Genomic DNA, 23,501 nt, shown 5'->3' on the forward strand with positions numbered 1-23,501 from the left:
TTCCTTGGGTTTTGTAGCTTGATAAAACACAAATGGCAAATATATTTATCTAAAAATTTAAAAATGTTTTTCTCCTGACTCTTCTAACTCCCTAGTTAGAATTTTAGAAGATCAAACGGAAAGTAAGCAATAAGTACTAATTTATTATAGGATAAAAGAACATAATCCCTGACTCATTTGCTTCTAATTAAGACGTGCATGAGACCATAAAAATAGAAATATGTTTATGTAACTCATTTAAAATCTAACCAATCCAGAGAAAACATCAACCTCCCCTAAGTGTATCAATACACAGTTTTGTAATATAACAGAAAAAAATGTGGCCAGAAAAATGAGATCCAATGGCAATTTCCTTTTCTTACAATAGTTTTTTCCTATCAAATACAGCTAAGAAGCCCTTGCATAAGAACTAAAACACAAGAAGTTATCATCTACAGATGGTGGTTTGCCCCTACGTATTATGGGAAAAATGATGAACACACTATGCAGAGACATTCATGTGTTCATTCACCCACAAAGACGTAGTCAGCAACCAGGTCATGCCAAGCACTGGGCTCAGTCCATCCAAGTGCCAAATGCCTAACAGAACAGGGTGAATTATCAAGTCTGTCTGCAGTGAAATTACGTGTATCTGCAGATTATCTTTCATTTTCACTCCATCGTTTTATTGAAATTCCTATTTTTAGATATTTTCTCCCATACTAAAGGCTGAATATAACTTTTTAGAAAAAGACTAATTTTAGATCTTCCACCATGTAGGCTCAGTTTGAAGTGTTCTTTTTCACATTGCCCTAAGTGAATTATCCTACGTTTTCAGTTCCGAGGCTGTCAGCCTGGATCTAAGCCCTGTTTAAGTCACTGTCGGTTGAAAGGGTTAGTAAGACATCTGTGAATGTTAAAAGCATGTGGGCCAGTGTATTGCTTTGATCAGGGGTTTTTGCCCAACTAAGAGGACTGAATTTTGACTGAATTCAAAATCATAGATCATTTGGTGGCAATTAATACACTACTCTTCTTTCTAGGATATTTGCCTATGTACCTGTCCATCAATGTTAATCTCTCTTTGGCTAAAAATTTAGATTTTTCATAGCTTTTTTATTTTTGTAGCAATTCCCTTCCCCTTGCAATAGTCTCTGTTTGTTAGTATTATTCATATTATACTTTCTAAATGTGTTTCTCTTTTTTTAACTTACAGTCAGATCCATATTTTAGCTGCTTGATTGTAATTTTCTGACACCAGTGAAATAGGATTCTCCAGTATTAAACCAAGATGTCTCCAGGGTAATAGAGCAGAGAAGTGGTAGGATATGATAGATGAGGCTCTGAGCCACTTGAAGTATTATGTGGAAGGTGACCAGGAATATTCAAAAGCACTATAGAGTTTCAAGGAAGGGTACTCTTTGAATGAACATATATTGAAGAAATAAAATGCATGTAGAACAGAGCAAAGCATAATATCTTTTTAAAATATATTCATATTTGATTGTATATGCATAAATAAACACTGAAGAATAGACCAAAAATATTAGAGTTGTTACCCATGGAGGAAAGAGGGGCAAAGGAATGAATGGAAACTATTTGTGTATACCTTCCTATTTAGTTTTGATTTTTGAATCATGAAACACACAGTTAAACTAAAATAAAAATTACTTGGAAGATCAGGATCTTCAATCAGTAGACTGAGATCCATAGAGCTATCTCTAGACCTTTCCTGGTAGACCCTCATGCCAATTGCTCCCACCAGCTCCATGAATTCTCAACCCACTGAATCCTCCCCTCCTCAAGCACCGCATTTTCCTGCAAGCTCCACGTGCATCTGATGCAGGTGTCAGAAAACTCAACCCCAGCTGATTTAAGCAAAGAAAGGGAATTGATTGAGGTAAACTGAAAAGTCCAGGCCTAGACCTTCAGGCACAGCTTGACTCAGGAATTAAACTAGAGAACACAAGGATCCAGTCCACAGCTCTGCTTCCTCAGAGTTGGTTCTGTTCTCAGACCCTGCCAGTGGTCACCAGCAGCTACGGGCTATCAACATCACGACAACCAATTATGGAAGAAAGATCCACTTTTCCTCTAATAGCTTCCATAAAAGTTCCAGAATTGAGTCTTACGGGCTTTGATTGGCCCAGTTTTAATCCTTTGCCCATCTCATCAATCACTGTCGCCAAAGAGGGCATGCCATCATTGGCTTAGTCTAGGTTACATGCCCCACTGTGGGCATAGGAGTGAAGTGCTTCATCTGAAGTGCATAGGTAGAAAAGTGAAACTGGGGTATATTATCAGGAAGGGATGTTAGATATTGGACAGTAAAAACACTACTCTTGGCAGGGCATGGTGGCTCACGCCTGTAATCCCAGCACTTTCGGAGGCCAAGGCTGGTGGATCACCTGAGGTCAGGAGTCTGAGACCACCCTGGCCAACATGGCAAAACCCCATCTCTACTAAAAATGCAAAAATTAGTCAGGCGTGGTGACTGGTGCCTGTAATCCCAGCTACTCAGGAGGCTGAGGCAGGAGAATCACTTGAACCCAGGAGGCGGAGGTTGCAGTGAGCCGAGATTGCAGCCACTACACTCCAGCCTGGGCGATAGAGTGAGACTCCGTTGCAAAAACAAACAAACAAACAAACAAAAAAACACCAAAAAAACACTACTGTGTTCTCAAGCTGGAGTGCAATGGCACCATCTTGGCTCACTGCAACCTTTGCATCCCGGGCTCAAATGATCCTCCTGCCTCAGCCTCCCAAGTAGCTGGGACTATAGGCATGAGCCACCATGCCTGGCTAATTTTTGGATTATTTGTAGAGATGGGGTTTCACCATGTTGGCCAGGCTGGTCTCGAACCCCTAGACTCAAGTAATCCACCCGCCTCAGCCTCTCAAAGTGCTGGGATTACAGTCGTGAGCCACTGTGCCTGACCTAAAAAAGCAGCTTTTCAAAAGAGATTTGAGACTCCTGATTTAAAATAAGAGTTTTTTTGGCCTGAAATAGGCTATCCAGAGAACACTGTACTTTTCAAAGCAGGTCAGAAAAATTGCTGTTCTAATCAAGAAAAAGCAGAAGTTCAAAAAAATTACTTATATTCCCAAAACTGAATTTTAGGAGCCAGGGAATGATGAGCAGTTTGATAGAACTGTTTTGTTGAGTTAGACCAGACAATAAATTATTTTTGTGTGTTTTTTTTTTTTTTTGGTATAACACCTCGGTATTATTTGGACCTTGAAACTTTCTTTTAATATATATTGTTTCTGATCGACGACCATAGGCAGTCTTTAAATACTCCACAAGGAATAGATGGAAAGGAGGCACCTTTCCAAGAGAAATCCTTAAACCAAAGTATTCCTTACCCGTTTCTGCCCTGTTATTCCATGGCTGGTCTCAATTAGCTTTCTGCCACTGTCATACATTTGTGAAAATGGCAACAGTGGTAATGAACATACCCATGGGCCCATGGAAGATTTCCATTTTCTCTTCATTTCTGGCACCACAAGAACACTCCAGTCCAGCACACACAATCAGTTCAAGTGCATGCATAAAACTCTACTATATATAGTATGAGTGGATTCCAGGATGCAAACTATATATAGCTGAGCTAAATAACGAGTTCGCTCTCATGTTACTCAGCTGGCAATGTTTGAAACATGAAACAGTTCTTTCCAGTCACTCCTTGTTGAATGCTGGTTCTCACTGGTGCTCTTTTGTGCACCCTTGTTTTCAGCTGGCCTGTCTTCTTAAGTCCCTTTCCGGATTTTTGTCAAGTGAGAGCTGTTTCTGTCTAACTTTTTTTTTTTTTTTTTTTTTGAGACAGAGTCTCACTCTGTCACCCAGGCTGGAGTGCAATGGTGTGATCTCAGCTCATTGAAACCTCGCCTCCCGGGTTCAAGCGATTCTCCTGCCTCAGCCTCCTGAGTAGCTGGGATTACAGGTGCATGCCACCACACCTGGCTATTTTTTTTTTTTTTTTTTTTTTTAGTAGAGATAGGGTTTCACCACATTGGCCAGGCTAGTCTTGAACTTCTGATCTCATCATCCTCCCACCTCGGCCTCCCAAAGTGCTGGGATTACAGGCGTGAGCCACCGCGCCCAGCCCTGTCTAACTTTTATGTACAGGGATGGCTCTGGCATTTCCTTCTTTATTTTTATTTTTATGTTTTTAACCGTATCCCTGGTGGTAGGTGAGGCTATGGTATTTTTAGCCGGAAAAGCTCAGGGCAGCAATCTGGGGGCAATCGGGGCAGCAAAATGGGGGAAGCTTGAGGCAATTCCCTGGAATCTTTTTAGATCTGGAGGATGCTGATGGAGATTACAGAGGAGGAAGGGCTAAAAGACCCACCGTAGGCTATCTTTTGGTGCTGTCACTACCCACACATCTTTTTTCTTTTATCTTGTAGAAACTGCTTGTTCTGGCAGGCTCTCACCCAGCCAATTAAGCCACGCTCACCCAATAGAAAATCTCAAAATTTTCTCTGAACTTCCCATTTCCATCAGAAGGGCATTAAAGTGTCCCACAGACATTTATTTGGTCATGGGGATGCCAACATGAACAAGATGGTCCTTGTCCTCAAGTTGTTCACAGTCTAAAGTGAAGTAGAGCCAGGTACAGTGGCTCACGGTAATCCCAACATTTTGGGAGGCTGAGATGGGAGGATCACTTGAGGCCAGGCATTTGAGACCAGCCTGGGCAACATAGTGAGACCCCATCTCAACAAAAAATTTAAAAACTAGTCAGGCATGGTGGTGCACGTTGGAAGTCCCAGCTACTTGGGAGGCCAAGGCAGGAGGATCCTTTGAGCCCAGGGGTTTGAGGCTGCAGTGAGCTATGATCATGTCATTGCACTCAAGCCTGGTTGGCAGAGTGAGACCTTGTCTCTATTAAAAGAATAATAATAATAAAGTAGAGTAGGGGTAAAGGGACATACACAGACAGACAAGCTATATGCATGAGCTGTATTTGCAATGAGTGGTGTGTTGTAAAAATCACAGTGTGTGTGTTCTGTTTACCTCGTCTGTGCTCCCTATTTGTATCTCCTCTCTCTCATCTATAGCAGCTCGTATTTTATTCTTTCCCACATTCCATTCATTACACAAATACTTGTTGAGTCTTGAGTCTGTGCTAAGTGCTGAGGCTACAGTGGCATTGGACTTGTATTCCAATGGAGAGAATCAGATAATAAGCAAGTATACAAATAAGATATTATTTAGTGAAAGAGAAAACAGACGAAGGGATAGAAAGTGACCATTAGGGGAGGTAAAGTGGGGAAAGGTTGCAACAACGGGCACAGCAATCTCTCTGAGGAGGTGACATTTGAACTAAGATCTGATGGGCAGGTAAGAGGTAACCAAGCATGGGAATATCTGGGGAAGAGCAGGGCTGGCAGGTGAAACTGGAAGGGGCAGACTGAGCAGGAAGTCTGTGGTATTGCAGGAATGGAAAGAAGGTCCAGGTGACTAGAGCTTAGTGTCACAGGGGAGAGGGACAGCAGCTGAGATCACAGAGGTCATCAGAGGCCAATCAGGAGGGCTGGAAGTCCTTGATAAGGTGTCTGAATTTTATTATCAGTGCAATTTGGAGAGGGGAATGTACTTTTCCTATGATCAGATATGCGTGTTTTTTATTCAGGGTATCCTTTTTAGCATATAAAGAAACAGAATTAGTGATGAAAATATTGATTGCTTGGTGAGTACAGAATTAGAGCAAAGACAGATGAAAGGTCTTGAGGGATATTTTAATAGGCTCTCCAAGGGTCCACAGCACTGGGGATTTTCCTTTTCAAATATCTGGATATTTGTGTGCATCAGATATACTAAACTCTCTTGAACAAAGTTTAACTCCTCAAGTCTCCTTGTTTTTAGGGTAGGCAGGAATCCATGCCCTTTTGTCTGTATTCTTTATCACACCATCACCTTTCCTTACTTCCACAGCCTTTGTTACATTCCCAGTTACAGATGATATTTAATCACCTCAAGAATCTAGTCCAGGCCGGGTGTGGTGGCTCACGCCTGTAATCCCAGCACTTTGGGAGGCCAAGGCAGGAGGATCACATGAGGCCAGGAGTTTGAGACCAGCCTGGCCAATATGGTGAAACCCCATCTCTATTTAAAAATAATAATAATAAAAAAAGCTGGTCATGGTGGCACACGCCTGTAGTCCCAGCTACTCGGGAGGCTGAGGTAGGAGAATCTCTTGAACCCGGGAGGCAGAGGTTGCAGTGAGCCAAGATCACCCCACTGCACTCCAGCCTGAGCAATAGAGCGAGATTCTGTCTCAAAAAAAAAAAAAAAGAGAGAAAAAAAAAGAATGTAGTCTAAAACTATCATAAACTGGATCCTGATGGGAAGTGTACAATTATATAACATCCTATCCATGGTTAGTGAATAATTTTCAGCTTCTATCTTGGGGAACGAGACCTACGTCCCACTTCCCACCGACTTGGGCTTTTGGCTTGGGGGCTAGCCTTCTTTTCACTTCTTGTCACTCTGTAATCACTGACCACAATATGCATATGGTTCTGATGTAAACTAAAATCTTTATCCAAAGGCTCTATCCACCTGGCAACTTTTGAACCCATATGAAATAAGCAGGGTAGTGACTCTTCTTTTGAGACCTCATTTGCTCATTTATTCAAGTACATGGAGCCCCAGGCAGTCCACTCAGTGCAAGGGATAAAACAGATGCATGGGCCGGGCGCGGTGGCTCACGCCTGTAATCCCAGCACTTTGGGAGGCCGAGGCGGGTGGATCATGAGGTCAGGAGATCGAGACCATCCTGGCTAACAAGGTGAAACCCCGTCTCTACTAAAAATACAAAAAATTAGCCGGGCGCGGTGGTGGGCGCCTGTAGTCCCAGCTACTGGGGAGGCTGAGGCAGGAGAATGGCGTGAACCCGGGAAGCGGAGCTTGCAGTGAGCCGAGATTGCGCCACTGCAGTCTGCAGTCCGGCCTGGGCGACAGAGCGAGACTCCGTCTCAAAAAAAAAAAAAAAAAAAAAAAAAAAAAACAGATGCATGATGTACTCCTGGCCCCCTAGTCTGACAAAGCTTTTATGTGTATCTCTGGTTCTTAAAAAGAACAAATTGTCCACTTACAAACTGTATACTTACAACTAACCTGGATGTACAGGGCGTGTGCTCCATGCAGCTTGCAAATATCTGTCTTGAATTATTTTCTGCAGACTAACAGCCACCATAGCTTCTGGTTGCTCCTCTCTCCTCCTTGTCCTCCTTCCCACCTCTAGAGCGCTTGCTGCTGTTGCCATGACAACCAGAAGGAAAAGCTTTGGAACTTTATCTCTTACTATGGGCCCATGTCTCCCCATGAGGACAATATTGTCTGTCACTCCAACTGGACTCTGGGGCTTTCTCTTTAAATATACCGTTAAGTCATGTTAAAATTGGAACTCTAAGGGCAAGATTATGAGGGTATTAAGTCAGGGACCTAGGAATTCTCAAATCTTGTTTTTGACTAGCAATCCTTTTCTTCAAAGAAAATATGTGCACTTATGACAAAGCAGGGTATAGGGATGCTTTTTACTAAGTGGGGCTTCACATCTAAGCCCCATATAGAGTTTTAACAGGTCCATACAGGCCTGGTGGAGGTCTCTTTTGGCATAAGCTGGGTTGACCCGAGATGCCTACTTGACCACTAAGAGATTAGAAAAAAGATCCTCCAGCTCAAACTTGTCATCTGGGCTCCAGGTTCAGGCAGCGATCTACCGGCTTGATATTTCCCCTGGATGTCTCGTGGACATCTTCATCTTAAAAATCTTTCCATCCTTATTCTTCCCCTAGTCTTCCACCTCTCCATAAACAGCTTCACCCTGCAGACCGAGGCCCAAGCCAGCAACCTGGGAGGCTTCCTTGACTCTTCCCTTCCCCTTGCCTCCCCGCATGCCCAATCCTTACCAAGTCCTGTGGCTCTATCTCCAAAATAAAACTCGCAGACGTCTGCTTTTCTCCATCACCACTCCTATCACTTCAGACTAAAACGTAGTCATCTTCCGTCTGGATTATTTTAATCGCCCTCGGACTGTTCTCCCTGATTCTACTTGTTTCTCCCCAAGTCCTTCTTCATAGAGCAGCAAGTGCGATCTTTTAGAAAGATAAACCAGATTGCATGACTCGGCTCTTTAAAACTCTTCTTGGCTTCCCACTACACTTGGAATAAAAACCGTCATCTTCACCCTGGCCTACAGGGCCTGCCCTACATTCTCTGAGCTCCTGTCCAGCCTCGTCTCTCCCACTCTCCACCTGGCCCTTCCTCCAGTCGCATTTGTCTTCCTTCCACTCTCCATGTGGCTTGCAAATATGTCTTTAATTTCCTCCAAAGTCAAACAGTTGCCATACATCCTGGTTTTCCCACAAAGCTCTTTTCCCACCTCCAAGCCTTTACACTTTCAGCTCCTTCTGCCTGGAACACATGTTCCCTGCCCTTTGCCTGATCTTTGCACGGTGGCTGTTTCCTTTTCAACCTTGAGGTCTCAGTTAACTGTCACCTCCTCAGAGAGGCCTTCCCTGACCACCCTATCCAAAACTGCTCTCCCCCATGAGTGACTCTATCAGTGCACCCTGTTTATTTCCTACGTAAGATTTTCCAAAACATGTACCTATTTTGGTTATTCATGTGTGTGTTTATTGTTGAGGGCAGGAACTAGACCTACTTTATTCATTATGAATGGCTTATAAGAGGAACATGATTAATACCTGTTAGATCCATGAATTATCATGTCTGAAATTCCACCAGGGATTCCTACACTCAGGAAAGAAACATGAAATATTTTTTTCCTCTTCTTCCCCCTTCACTCTCTTGGTCAGGGTCTTTTTTTGTTTTGTTTTGTTTTGTTTTGTTTTGTTTCTTTTTTTAGATGGAGTCTCACTCTGTCACCCAGGCTGGAGTGCAGTGGTGCCACCTCGTCTCACTGCAACCTCCGCCTCCCAGGTTCAAGTGATTCTCCTGCCACAGCTTCCCGAGTAGCTGGGATTACAGGCCTAAACCACCACACTCAGCTAATTTCTGTATTTTTAATAGAGTCGGGGTTTCACCATGTTGGCCAGGCTGGTCTCAAACTCCTGATCTCAGGTGATCCACCCATCTCAGCTTCCCAAAGTGCTGGAATTATAGGCGTGAGCCACTGCGCCCAGCTGGTCAGGATCTTGATGAATGAAATTCTCCTTAGATGGTACAAATGAAGAAACTGTAATGAAGAGATTATTCTCTGAGGCATAGACAGGGTTAAGAAAACCAACACAGGATGTTCAGATACCAGCGAGGAGCAAGAGCAAGGAGCTGTTATACCCCCAAGACTGGGGGCCAAAGGGAAGGAACCATATTCTCAGAGCCCAGTAAGGGCTGGGGCTGTGGAAGAGGCTTCCCAGCTAGAAATATAGTCTTGAAGGGACATAGCCATTGCCAGTTGCTGGCAGCTAAGCAGGAGAGGAACAGATGAAGAAATACCCCACCTTCTCCCATCTCCTGTTTCTAGTCTGTGCCCCTTCTTGGCTGAAGCCAACTGAAAGCCAGCCAGCAAGGGAGCCCAGGTGAACAAATCAGTCTGTAGGAAGCTGGCCTTCCAGAGCACTGAGCAGATGATAAATGGAGAAGAACCGGCACAGGTGTTCACTCCCAGCAGCTGGAACTCAGCCTTGGTTTTGCTCCCATGACTTAGAAGTCAATCCTATTTGGGATTTATGCTTGGAATTTAACTACCATTTATACCACTGGGTTTATGGAATTTTGATTTCTAAATAATCAACTTACTAATAAACTTGACGACACAATTCACTAGGGCGTTAGAGCCTGCCTTTATACTGAACAAGTGGGTGAAGTGTTTTTATTATTAATAAGCACAGTACTGCCTACTCAAGAAAAAGAAAACTTCTATAATCTTATTTGGCCACCACACCAAACGAACTATGGAGCCTTTTGATGATATACGTAGTATCCTCACAAAACACATGGGACCAGTATTTGGCAAATTTGATTTCTAGGTTCTGTCAAACCAGTTGCAGAGATATAGCTAGAATTTTTTTTCTCAGTTAAAAATGCTTTAAGTCTTTGAGTTCTGGTTTTCATCCTCCTCTGAATAGTTGCTGTGTGAGGATGTCCATATCTGACTCATTTTACTCTACAAATACAGAATTGCACCCAGGTGTATTTTAGGGATATTGGTCACCCTGAAGTTTTCATAGGTTTTATAGATATATGCTGGTAAGGTGGGAGGGCGGGTGAATAAGAAGTAAAATACAAGTCTTCCTGAAAGCTGATAATGCAGCATTGGGGTAGATCCCTCATTTTCTTTCTTTATTATTATTATTTTTTTTGAGACAGAGTCTCACTCTGTCACCCAGGCTGGAGTGCAGTGGCACGATCTCTGCTCACTGCAAGCTCCGCCTCCCAGGTTCATGCCATTCTCCTGCCTCAGCCTCCCGAGTAGCTGGGACTACAAGCACACAGCACCACACCCAGCTAATTTTATATTTTTAGTAGAGATGGTGTTTCACCATGTTGGCCAGGCTGGTCTCAAACTTCTGGGCTCAAGTGATCCACCTGCCTCAGCCTCCCAAAGTGCTGGGATTACAGATTTGAGCCACCATGCCCAGTCTCTCTCTCTTTTTTTTTTTTTTTTTAATAGATATAGGGTTTCACCATGTTACCCAGGTTGGTCTCAAACTCCTGGACTCAAGTGATCCACCTGCCTCAGCCTCCCAAAGTGCTGGGATTACAGGTGTGACCACTGTTCCCAGCCAAAAATCATTTCATCTTTATAACTCTAGCAGTGGGATCTGGGGCCAAGTTATATGGCTGAGTGGCATCACAATATCAATATATGATTCGTCTTTTAAAGTTTTTGTTTTAGAATATGACTTGAGAGCTGGACAGCCATACCGAATATTTCCACTGGAGCAGAGAGGACTGAGAGGCCGCTGCCCAATTTATTGTATCTGTGTTGAGTGCTAGATCTACGAATGGAACTCCATACTAGCAAACAGCAACCTCATTTCCAGTTCATTTTTCTCCTTGCTTGAGGTGTTCTAAATATTGGAAGAATCATCTATTCTAAATCAGAATGCCCCTGCTTTGTCTACTCTGTGTTTTTTTTTTAACAAGAAGCCATATTTATTGTGTTTATTGATTTATTGATGCTTAGAAAATAAGAGAATGTTGGTTTAGGGCGGGCTGAAATTTATCTTTTTGCTATGTAGAAAAGAGGCAAGTTGCTCTAATCCTTTAAGCACAGAAGCTTATAAGGAGAATTCAAATTCATGTCTGGTTTGCCTGTATTCAGAGATTCTACAGAGACAAAATTCTCTCCTAAAAGGAACTGTATACCGGCCAGCCACGGTGGCTCACGCCCGTAGTCCCAGTACTTTGGGAGGCCAAGATGGGTGGATCACTTGAGGCCAGGAGTTCGAGACCAGCCTGGACAACATGGTGAAACCCCATCTGTACTAAAAATACAAAAATTAGCTTGGCTTGGTGGCATGTGCCTGTAATCCCAGCTACTTGGGAGGCTGAGGCACGAGAATCGCTTGAACCCGAGAGGCAGGAGTTGCAGTGAGCTGAGATCACACCACTGCACTCCAGCCCGGCCAACAGAGCTAGACTGTCTCAAAAAAAAAAAAAGGAACTATATACCACCTGGCATATATCTGAAGAGAAGCAGGGTGGAGGGCAAAGTAAAATATAAGTTCAGTGGAAAAATACTTGGAAAGCCACTTGGTAACAATAAAGATATTAATTAAATCACCCAGGGCCTTATGCCATAATGATATGCACCAGGTGTTTCTGCTTCCACTTAATTAACTCAGCATAATTCCTCTTTTAGAAAACGACACATACTGTTGGGGTATATCCAGCCGAAACACACATCAGCACAAAGCTTTTAAAATGTGGTTCTTTTCAATGTACATATTAGAATGGCCTCATTTCTTTCACTATGTGTGTACTGACCTTAGTGGGTCACCTACATTAAAGGATGTGGTAGAAATAAGGCAATCCCACATTTACAGACAAGAAAACAAACAATAATGTAGTTTTATGGAAACTAAGCTTCAGAAATGCAAGGCATTCACTGGTTTCACTCAGAAACCTCTCAGATGTGGGAGAAATATGTGTGAGATTTGGACTTTCATTTATCCAAATATGAGGAATTTTTCTGCTAGAGTCAACTGGCTGATAATGGATGGAAAGGATTAGTGCAGGTCCTACTTGGCAGCCTTCTCGGTAGAAACCCATATGCTCTCTGACATTGATTATAATTATTTTTCCATCATTCCCAGGTTACATTCTTAGCAGGAATGTGAGCCAACTCTCTCCCTAGGAAGGCTCCTGCTGTGAAACCATCTTTGGCAATGAATCTTTAACAAAAGATCAAGAACTTGACATTTATTTTTAAGCACGAGAAGAAAATGTGTGCAATGTTGGAAGCAAGGACAGGGATAGGAAGAGCTTCTAAACAGTTGCAGGCAGGGGCAGTGGAACAGAAATAAATATTACATAAGTGACATGTTGGTGACTTTACTTTTGTGAAATAGCAACTAATGACTAGGTATGGAATATATGGATTATATGATGTTAAGGTTTAACGTCTTTTTAAAGTAGAAGGGTGCTCCCTCTCCCTCTCCCCATGGTCTCCCTCTCCCCATGGTCTCCCTCTCATGCCGAGCCGAGGCTGGACGATACTGCTGCCATCTCGGCTCACTGCAACCTCCCTGCCTGATTCTCCTGCCTCAGCCTGCGGAGTGCCTGCAATTGCAGGCACGCGCCGCCACGCCTGACTGGTTTTCGTATTTATTTGGTGGAGACGGGGTTTCGCTGTGTTGGCCGGGCTGGTCTCCAGCTCCTAACCGCGAGTGATCCGCCAGCCTCGGCCTCCCGAGGTGCCGGGATTGCAGACCGAGTCTGGTTCACTCAGTGCTCAATGGCGCCCAGGCTGGAGTGCAGTGGCGTGATCTCGGCTCGCTACAACCTCCACCTCCCATCCGCCTGCCTTGGCCTCCCGAAGTGCCGAGATTGCAGCCTCTGCCCGGCCGCCACCCCGTCTGGGAAGTGAGGAGCCTCTCTGCCTGGCCGCCCATCGTCTGGGATGTGAGGAGCCCCTCTGCCTGGCTGCCCAGTCTGAAAAGTGAGGAGCGTCTCTGCCCGGCCGCCATCCCATCTGGGAAGTGAGGAGCGCCTCTTCCCGGCCGCCATCACATCTAGGAAGTGAGGAGCGTCTCTGCCCGGCCGCCCATCGTCTGGGATGTGGGGAGCGCCTCTGCCCCGCCGCCCTGTCTGGGATGTGAGGAGCCCCTCTGCCTGGCTGCCCAGTCTGGAAAGTGAGGAGCGTCTCTGCCTGGCCGCCATCCCATCTAGGAAGTGAGGATCGTCTCTGCCCGGCCGCCCATCGTCTGAGATGTGGGGAGCGCCTCTGCCCCGCCGCCCCGTCTGGGATGTGAGGAGCACCACTGCCCAGCTGCGACCCCGTCTGGGAGGTGAGGAGCGTCTCTGCCCGGCCGCCACCCCGTCTGGGAGGTGAGGAGCGTCTCTGCCCGGCCGCCCCGTCTGAGAAGTGAGAAGACCCTCCGCCCGGCAGCCGCCCCGTATGAGAAGTGAGGAGCCTCTCCGCCCGGCAGCCACCCCGTCCGGGAGGGAGATGGGGGGGGGTCAGCCCCCGCCAGGCCAGCCGCCCTGTCCGGGAGGGAGGTGGGGGGGTCAGCCCCCCGCCCGGCCAGCCGCCCCATCCGGGAGGTGAGGGTTGCCTCTGCCTGGCCGCCCCTACTGGGAAGTGAGGAGCCCCTCTGCCCGGCCACCACCCCGTCTGGGAGGTGTGCCCAACAGCTCATTGAGAACGGGCCAGGATGACAATGGCGGCTTTGTGGAATAGAAAGGGGGGAAAGGTGGGGAAAAGATTGAGAAATCGGATGGTTGCCGTGTCTGTGTAGAAAGAAGTAGACATGGGAGACTTTTCATTTTGTTCTGTACTAAGAAAAATTCTTCTGCCTTGGGATCCTGTTGATCTATGACATTACCCCCAACCCTGTGCTCTCTGAAACATGTGCTGTGTCCACTCAGAGTTAAATGGATTAAGGGCGGTGCAAGATGTGCTTTGTTAAACAGATGCTTGAAGGCAGCATGCTCATTAAGAGTCATCACCACTCCCTAATCTCAAGTACCCAGGGACACAAACGCTGCGGAAGGCCGCAGGGTCCTCTGCCTAGGAAAACCAGAGACCTTTGTTCACTTGTTTATCTGCTGACCTTCCCTCCACTATTGTCCTATGACCCTGCCAAATCCCCCTCTGTGAGAAACACCCAAGAATGATCAATAAAAAAAAAAAAAATAAAATAAAGTAGAAGGGTGGGGGAAATGTGATTATTCCAAACCCGGCGTGTCTTTATGATTTTATATCCAACTGATCATTCAGGGAGGTTATTAGGACAGTGGTTGAAACAGAAATTTAGGATAATATTCTAAGAAACAGAAAAAGCAGTCTTCTCATTCTAACTGGCAAAACCAACAGAGATAACAAAAAAAAATTTTTTTTTTCCCCAGGAAGAGCGTGTGCATTCAAACTTGTTCATTCATTAATTTGAGTTGAAGGGAGGGGGACGTCCTTGGTGGAAAAGTTAAAGAAAGTGCTCTGGATGAGAAATTCACAGGGTAAGAATTTTTCATTTTCAAATTGTCCACCTACAATAAGGAAATTTCTTCCAAATTAATTTTTAAAACAACAGGTGCAGAAAATGGTGTGGCTGTCAGAAAATTACCAAATTAAACATAAAAAGCTTAGCCTGTCTCCTAAAGGATGGTTATTTCTATCTTATGGTTTCATGCACTGTAATGATTAGTTTCTCCATTAAAATCAAATACAGAATATAATTAAGTCAGTACTCCAGGTTACATGTCTTAAAATTCCACTAGCTGAAGGACTTGCTAGAGGCAGTAATAAATACTTTAATAAATACCTGTACCATAAATTTACTTCAGATGTGACTTAAACTCAGCACAAAGCTTACCATAGGCAGTTTATAGCCTCTAGATGGGTAAATTTTTTTTTGCTGAGCTATGCTCTTCTAAGCATTTGGATAAAGTTCCTAATGGTATTCCACTTTCTAGCTTTGCCAAAAACTTAGCCAAAAGTGATGTGTACATTTTTATACATGAGAATGAAATCAAATGAAAAGTTTTGATTTAAAAAGGAAACCACATATTATTGAAAACTAAAATATATCTTGGTTATGGACTCGTGAATACTACATCAAAATTCATTGCAGAAGAATAAATTACCCAATCTTGTAATAGAGTTTTCAGATATGGAAAATGTATAGTGTTCTTCCTGTTTAAACATTGTAGATTTAAATCATTTGGTTATATAATCACAATTCAATTTTCATCTCAAATTTTCATTGTCATTATTATATCACTTAAAAATATATAATCGAGCACAGTGGCTCATGCCTGTAATCCCAGCACTTTGGGAGGCCGTAGTAGGAGGATCACTTGAGCCCAGGAGTTCAAGACCAGCCCTGGCAACATGGCAAGACCCTGTCTTTACAAAAAATTTAAAAACTAGTTGGGTGTGGTAGCATGCACTTGTAGTCCCAGCTACTTGGGAGGCTAACCTCAGAGGATCACTTGAGCCTGGTAGCTTGTGGCTGCGGTGAGCTGTGGTCGTGCCTCTGCACTCCATCCAGCCTGGGAGACAGAGCAAGACCCTATCTCAAAAAAAATATATATGTATATATATGTTCTAAATATTATATATATGTATTTCTAAAAACCACTACAATCACTTGTACTTAAGGTCTATTCTCATCTTCTTGGTTTGGCATAACCAATACTTCTCACTGAAGGTAAAGATGTTAATAGCAATGGGGAAAAAAAATAACACTTCTCCAGTGCCAGGCAAATGGCCATATCCATCAGGAGTGAAGAAAGCTAATACGTTTCCACACATGGTTGGCTTTATCTCTTCCATTTGAATAAGTTATTGCATTTACTATGTGCAAGGTTGTTTGCAAAACATCTTACATGCATTGCCTTATTTAATTCTCATAAAAATCTAAAATGTATATATTTAAGCCTCCCAAATACCCAGTGAGAGAGTTAATATGCTCCTTCTACAGGGAGAAAGCTGAAGCTCAGAGAGTTTATTTACCTAGAGTTTTATAAGGAGGAAATCATTTCTTGTAACCATCTATGTCAGTTGGGTCTTCCAGGAAGCAGATGAGGAGATGGAGTTAAGAACACAAACAGTTGATTCAGGTGAAATGCCTGTTAAAGAAAAAAGGGAGAATCAGCAGCTTGGACAGATAAAGCCTTTAGGCCATTATATTAATCTGACACTTGTGAAAAAAAAAAAAAAGTGTGGAAGAGGCTGGGCGCGGTGGCTCATGCCTGTAATCCCAACACTTTGGGAGGCTGAGGTGGGCAGATCACTTGAGGTTGGGAGTTCGAGACCAGGCTGACCAATATGGAGAAACCCCATCTGTACTAAAAATACAAAATTAGCCAGGTATGGTGGCACATGCCTGTAATCCCAGCTACTCAGAAGGCTGAGGAAGGAGAATCGCTTGAACCCGGGAGGCAGAGGTTGCGATGAGCTGAGATCATGCCATTGCACTCCAGCCTGGGCAACAAAAATAAAACTCTGTTTAAAAAAAAAAAAAATAGTGGTGAAGAAACAGGATTGAACAGGAGCACCTCAGAATGCAATGCACACCTGACAGTTTTGGCCAACTCAATGGGAAACTCCAGAGCAAAGATTGCCGATTGGAAGATATCCACATTGGCCAGAAATAGCCAGCCCCTAGTACTTCCACTATGTTCAGTTATTATCTGGAGACCGTTCAGGAAGAGTGTGGCCTTAGCTTGAAAACTGAGGTGGTGTGAAGCTGCTGCAGCTGGAGGCTGTCAACTAACCACTCTCCTTGCAGCTGAATGGAAGTTCTTTCTCGAATGGAGAGCCAAGTGGTGTGTCTTCACAACTGCCACAGTTCACCCCATGCACCATGCAGCTCCCCTCCCATTTAGGGAACAGCTACTCCAGGGTTCCAGTGTGCCTCTCTTGCAGAGACACTTAAAAGAGGCAGATCAGTGGGATGAACTATAGCCCTTGTCACTGCAGTTGGTCTTGGGATTGCAACTGATACTTATCCTCTCCCTTCTCCACTATCCATTCAAAATTGACTCTCCCTCAGTTATCATCTCTAGTGGTCTCAGTAACTTGCTGGTGGTGTGACACAACTTTCATTTCTGAATGAAGCCACTGGTAACCATACTTATCTCAAGCTGGGGTTGCTGTACTCATCCATGTATGTTCTCAGTTGGGCCAGGGAGTATCATAAAGCACCCAACTGGACTGCCTGAGTTCTCCACATATTCTTCATTGCCCCCACTTGTAACAGCAGCCCAAACTCCTCCTGCTAATCAGGGGCAATTACCCTTGCCAAGATGGCAACTCTTCTTACCTGCTGGTTCATGGACACGAAGAATTCAAAATGCTGGGGCAGGAGCCATATTTTATAGTTCAAATGGAACTCTTGCTGTTTCCCCAACCATGACGTTTCATTAGGGCAACCTCTTGCAGCCTCCTGCTCCTCCATTCTTGCTTTCTTTTAATTTTTTTATTTTTAATTATTATTATTATTATTATTTTTGAGACAGAGTCTCACTCTGTCGCCCAGGCTGGAGTACAGTGGCACGATCTTGGCTCACTGCAACCTCCTCCTCCCGGGCTCAAGCAATTCTCCTGCCTCAGCCTCCCGAGTAGCTGTGATTACAGGTGCCCGCTACCACGCCTGGCTAATTTTTGTATTTTTAGTAGAGACAGGGTTTCACCATGTTGGCCAGGCTGGTCTCGAACTCCTGACCTCAGGCGATCCGCCCGCCTTGGCCTCCCAAAGTGCTGGGATTACAGGCGTGAACCACCGTGCCCAGCCTCATTCTTGCTTTCTTTTGATGGTGCATATTAAGCAACATCTCCATTGGCTGGTCATTGACTTTGTCCTTTGGGACACCATATTCTGTGAACTATCTCCACAACTTTCTTTGGATCAAGCTCCCTTGGCTGCCATTCTGTTTTGCTGGTCATTACTATAATTACAACGCTCTGGCTTCTAGTGGTTAAGTGCCGCCCCTGGCCTCTTGCTTCAGGAGCCCACCATGCTCATTGCTATCCATGAGCCAAGCTCTGTGACAGCATCTCCTACCCACAGCCCTCGCCAGCACTGAACTTCTCCCTGATGCTGGCATCCCCTCCCTGGAGTATTCCTCATGTCCTTGGCAAGTGAAGCATAAGCTCTGGGCCTATGTGTCGCATAATCCTCTGGGGGTCTTCTGGCCTCACAGAAGATATCTATTCCAACATGTCCACTTCCCTCTGCATCTTTATTCCTTCCTCTACCATCTGCCAGGGCAATATTGATATGATAACTTTGCTCAGCATGGACCATTGCTTTCTCCATGCTTCTAAGAGCCACCCTAGCAGTAGGTCTGCACCATCCCCCCAGGGCCCTTGCCAGGATGTTAAATCCCATATCCTGGGAGAGTAGGCGTATGAGATTTTAACAAACTTTCCTTCAGCCAATGTTATGTCCTGGCCCCTTCATCAGGCACCCTCAAAATCCAGTCCCACAAGTACTCTGACTCCTTCAGGTATGTTCCAGTTTATGCTTGAAGCTCCACTTGAGTATAATCCCTTCCTTGCTACCAATCCCACCTACATTAGGCTGCAATTTAACATAGTTGTTCACCTACAGCTGGGAGAGAAAATGAGGCATATGTTGAAGGGGACTCCTGTTGTCCTGTGAGGTTGAGGCTTCTACAGTATCTTTTCACACTGGGGAATGCAAGCTCTTACTGGGAGAGGGAAGCAGGAGGAGCAACTCTGCAGCCTCTGAAGATTCAGAGGAATCCAGGGAATCAAACCGGTTAGAGGTATGCAGCCAGGCGGCTCCATCCCATGTGTCAGGTTCCAGGTTTTACATACCAGGGCCCTGATCATTGCATAACAGACTGACTCAGCTGAGCATCAATCAGGTTTGAAGCTCTGCAACTCTTAATTGCTAATTCTGGAGTTTGGCCTTTAGCTTTTTCTATCCTTCCACTGCAGGACTAAGGGCCTCTTTGTAAACTTCCAAAGAGACCCTCTGGCCTTCATATGTAGTTTTCAATTGTTTGTTAATGATCTTGGCTTTTCATTATCCTCACATCCCACCTTCATTGAGCATCAGTGCAACTTCATAATAACCAACCAACTCACTGTCCTTGTATGCATTGTTCCCATGCTCCCCTCACCCTCAACCCTGTACAAAAGTCCAAATTGTTGCATCAGCCAAGGCATTTCCCTTCATTGAAACATTCTCCCGAGTCCCCTCCAGTGAAAGTTTTACCAACTGGGCTGCCACCTTGTGCCACAAACTCTTCACGTCCCACATACCACCCTGGATGGGGTCCTTGCAGGCTAAGTGGTGAGTGGTCCAGTCCCCAAACCCTCTCTTATCACCACTCCTTAAAGCAGATGCTGAGAAGGAGTTAGGAATGCAGGTGATTCCTTGGGAGAGGGAGTAATGTCTGTGAAGGATAAAAGAGAGGAGGCCGGATTGTGCAAGGAGAGTGTTAGAATAGTGAGCAGATATTATAAAGTCTCTGCCAACCCAACAGGGAGCTCTATGGCAAAGATTGCCCATTGGAGGAGTCCTGTGTTGAACAGAAATGGCTAGGCCCTAGCATTCTTGCTGTGCTGTCATTGGCTAGTGACTACCCAAGGAGACAATGGCCAAAAGCTGAACTTCGAATTCTTTCTTGGCAGGAGACAGAAAAGGCTCCATGTCTGTCACCCCATCATATTTCCACGCATTTATTAAGTGCTGGTTTGTGTGGCATCCTTTGACAGGAGACATAAGACAACAGCTCAGAGTGGAAGAAATAGATGTTCTCAGGAAGAGGCTGTATGCTGTCCTGGTTTCGAGCATCTGCCCTACAGTCAGAATGCCTGCATTTGAAATAAGTTTCTGCCACGAACTAGCTGTAAGACCGTGGGTGAGTTATTCAACCTTTCAGCACCTCATCTCCTAAAATGGGGATAATGTTTTCTTCCCCAAAGACTTGTGGGGAGGGACCAAAAATTAAATGGATTATTGAATGTAAAGTGCTTAGACCATTGGCCAACAGTTCGTCAGTGCCCTATAACTGTTGCCTGTTTAGCATGTCATAAACACATGACTCGCATACATTACATTAAAATAGAGCAGAGTATTTAAGTCCAGGGAAAGGAAACTATTATCAGATGACTGCTCTCTTCCAGGCACTGTAACACTATTTTCTCATGATCCTCTCTTTAATCTTTGCAATAACTCACAAGGTAGGTTTTACCAGTTGCAGTTTCCTGAGGAGGAAACCAAAGCTGGGAATTATTTTATCCTCAAAGTGGCAATAAGTTGTTGGCCACAACCGGGATATTCCGCTTTTCTCCTCACATTTAGAAATGTCATGTGGCTGTGAGTCACCTTGTGAGGATCTTGTCACATCCTTAGACTGTACTGCCAACACTGAAAATGCACTGTGGCTGACCCGTTTAAGCAAAGCCAGGCTGCAATTTTCCTGTGGATTCCCATTCCAGCAGTTAGGCTGGGCTCTCCTATGATTTTGCTACCACTGCGATTTTGCTGTGTGGCTACTTTAGAGACTAGAGACTGCCTAATGTGAGCAATAGGTGATCTAACGGACAATCATTATTGGTTGACTCAGCATCTATCAGTTGACTAAAGTTGCCTTTAGTCAACGGCAGCATCATGGTTTTCATCCATGGAATTCTGCGGTGTTGGCTCCACCCTCAGCTCCAGGAGGGGGTATGTGCTTGGCACCTGGATAATTAGATCATGGCATTCCCAGCCACAGTGATGGGTTTTGGGGAAAGGAGACATGTTACAATCCAGGCCAATTCATGTCAGGCCTTAACTTATTTTATTTTTGAGACAAGGTCTTGGCTCTGTCACCCAGGCTGGAGTACAGTGGTGTGACCACGGCTCACTGCAGCCTGGACCTGCCAGGCTCAATTGATCCTCTCGCCTCAGCCTCCTGAGTAGCTAGGACTACAGTTGCATGCCCCTCTACCCAGCTAATTTGTGTAGAGACAGAGTTTCGCCATGTTGCCCAGGCTGGTCTCAAACTCCTGGGCTTGAGTGATCCACCTGCATTAGTCTCCCAAAGTGTTGGGATTACAGGTGTGAGCCACCAAGCCCAGCTTAGACTTAACTTTATATTGATGGCAATGAAAAGCTTTTTCTTTTTCTGCCTGGAGCTATAAGGTCATAAACCTGCCACTACTGGTCACAATCTTCCTCCCATAAAATGAAAGTAAGCCTCAGAATAAAGCCAGAACAGAGGCAGGAAAAACAGAGACATCAGGAGAGCAGTGGTCCTGATAACATCATTTGAGCCCCTGATTCCAGATATACCTGAAGCCTGTATATCCCTTGGCTTTTAGTTCTGTTAAGTAAAACTTATGGGGATGCCATTGGTTTGGACTGAGCTCCTGCGCTGGGCCCCAACAGATCAGACCAAACCAGAATGGAGTCACTCATGCTAGCTGTTACGTAGTCAAACTGAACTTAGAAGTGGATCAGTTTTCCAAAAAAAAAAAAAAAGGAAGATTCACAGCAACCAATCCAAAGAGGCCCCATCAACCTGAGCTGGCATGATAAGGAAGTCCCTTCTGCTTTAATTCTATAAGAAAAGGGACTTTGAAACAACCAAACTGCTTTTTGTTCCTTATTTCTGCTTTCTTCTGCCTCTTCTGCCTGTAAAGCCCAGCTCCTCTGCTCAGCTCCTCAGGGTGCCTTTGTATTTCATAGAAGAAACGCTGCCCAATTCATGAATTACCAACAAAAGCCAATTGGATCTTTAAACTTTTTTGTTGCAAGTTTGTTCTTTGATAGTTCTGCAAGCCAATAAATTCCCTTTTCTTCCTTTAAATCAGATGTCCTTGGCCGGGTGTGGTGGCTCACACCTGTAATCCCAGCACTTTGGGAGGCCAAGGCGGGCGGATCATCTGAGGTCGGGAATTTGAGGCCAGCCTGACCAACAGGGAGAAACCCCATCTCTACTCAAAATACAAAATTAGCCAGGTGTGGTAGTGCATGCCTGTAATCTCAGCTACTCGGGAGGCTGAGACAGGAGAATTGCTTGAACCTGGGAGGCAGACTTGCAAGAGCCGAGATTATGCCATTGCACTCCAGCCTGGGCAACAGAGTGAGATTTTGTCTCAAAAAAAAAAAAAAAAAAAAATCAGGTGTCCTCAACCTCTAGGCCATGGACCAGTCCACAGCCTGTTAGGAACAGGGCTGCACAGCAGGAGGTGAGTGGCAAGCAAACAGGAGCGAGCATTGCCACCTGAGCTCCGCCTCCTGTTAGATCAGCAGCGGCATTAGATTCTCACTGGAGCACAAACCCTATTGTGAACTGAGTATGCAAAAGATCTAAGTTGCAGGCTCCTGATGAGACTCTAACTAATGCTTGATGTACTGTACTGCCAACAGTACAGTACAGTTTCATCCAGAAACCATCCTTCACGGTCCATGGAAAAATCGTCTTCCACAAAACGGGTCCCTGGTGCCAAAAAGGCTGGGGACTGCTGCTTTAAATAGTTTCAGCTGGGATTTCTATTACCTGAAACTAACTCCTAGCAGTGAATCATTCAGTCAGTCAATATTGAATACCTTCAGTGTGCTAGGTATGGTCCAAGTGTAGGAAAACAGCAGTCAACAAGACATACAACTCCCTGTGGGCCTGGATTTGCATTTGAAACTGACATTCTCGGCCGGGCGTGGGGGCTCACGCCTGTCATCCCAGCACTTTGCGAGGCTGAGGTGGGCAAATCACCTGAGGTCGGGAGTTCGAGACCAGCCTGGTCAACATGGTGAAACCCCGTCTTTACTAAAAAAAAAAAAAAAAAAAATACAAAAATTAGCTGAGCGTGGTGGCACAGGCCTGTAATCACAGCTGCTCAGGAGGCTGAGGCAGGAGAATCACTTGAACCTGGGAGGTGGAGGTTGCAGTGAGCCGAGATCATGCCACTGCCCTACAGCCTAAGCGACACAATGAGACTCCATCTCAAAAAAGAAAAAAGAAAAAAGAAACTGACATTCTAGTGAGAAGAAAAGGAGAAAAAGTAAATGTGTATATTGTGAATCAGTTATGACAAGTTCTGTAAGCTGGACAAGGGGAAGTAAGTGTTATAAGGGACTCAGGGAACATCTCACAGATATGGTGACTTTCAGAAGAGACCTAAAATATGTGAGAGAGTAAGCCATGAGTGGTAGCAGGGTTCCAGCAAGAGGAAACAAAAAATTCAAAGGCCCTGAGTTGAGTATATGCTTACAGAACAGTGAGGCCAAAGTGTTAAACGTGGCCAGGCGTGGTGGTTCACACCTGTAATCCCAGCACTTTGTGAGGCTGAGGCAGGAGGATCACTTGAGCCCAGGAACTCAGGACCAGCCCAGGCAATGTGGCAAGATTCTGTCTC

At 44.8% G+C, this 23,501-nt stretch overlaps 3 long non-coding RNA genes across 3 annotated transcripts in view; 2 read left to right on the plus strand and 1 right to left on the minus strand.

The window, feature by feature from the left end:
- Positions 1-12,597, plus strand: part of LOC124904040 (uncharacterized) — a 58,770-nt gene extending 46,173 nt beyond the window's left edge. The window contains exon 3 of the long non-coding RNA XR_007065867.1: positions 12,274-12,597. This is a non-coding gene — a long non-coding RNA (uncharacterized LOC124904040). The remainder of the gene's footprint in view (positions 1-12,273) is intronic.
- LINC01476 (long intergenic non-protein coding RNA 1476) overlaps positions 1-23,501 on the minus strand; it is a 95,989-nt gene that overhangs the window by 55,977 nt on the left and 16,511 nt on the right. The window contains exon 2 of the long non-coding RNA NR_110813.1: positions 16,134-16,249. This is a non-coding gene — a long non-coding RNA (long intergenic non-protein coding RNA 1476). The remainder of the gene's footprint in view (positions 1-16,133; positions 16,250-23,501) is intronic.
- On the plus strand, positions 13,547-20,946 carry LOC105371845 (uncharacterized). The gene is made up of 3 exons (XR_934887.2): positions 13,547-13,584; positions 14,528-14,635; positions 19,872-20,946. It is a non-coding gene; the product is annotated as an uncharacterized LOC105371845 (long non-coding RNA).

Source organism: Homo sapiens, chromosome 17 (genome assembly GCF_000001405.40).
Source record: "Homo sapiens chromosome 17, GRCh38.p14 Primary Assembly".
In the NCBI taxonomy this organism is placed as follows: domain Eukaryota; kingdom Metazoa; phylum Chordata; class Mammalia; order Primates; family Hominidae; genus Homo; species Homo sapiens.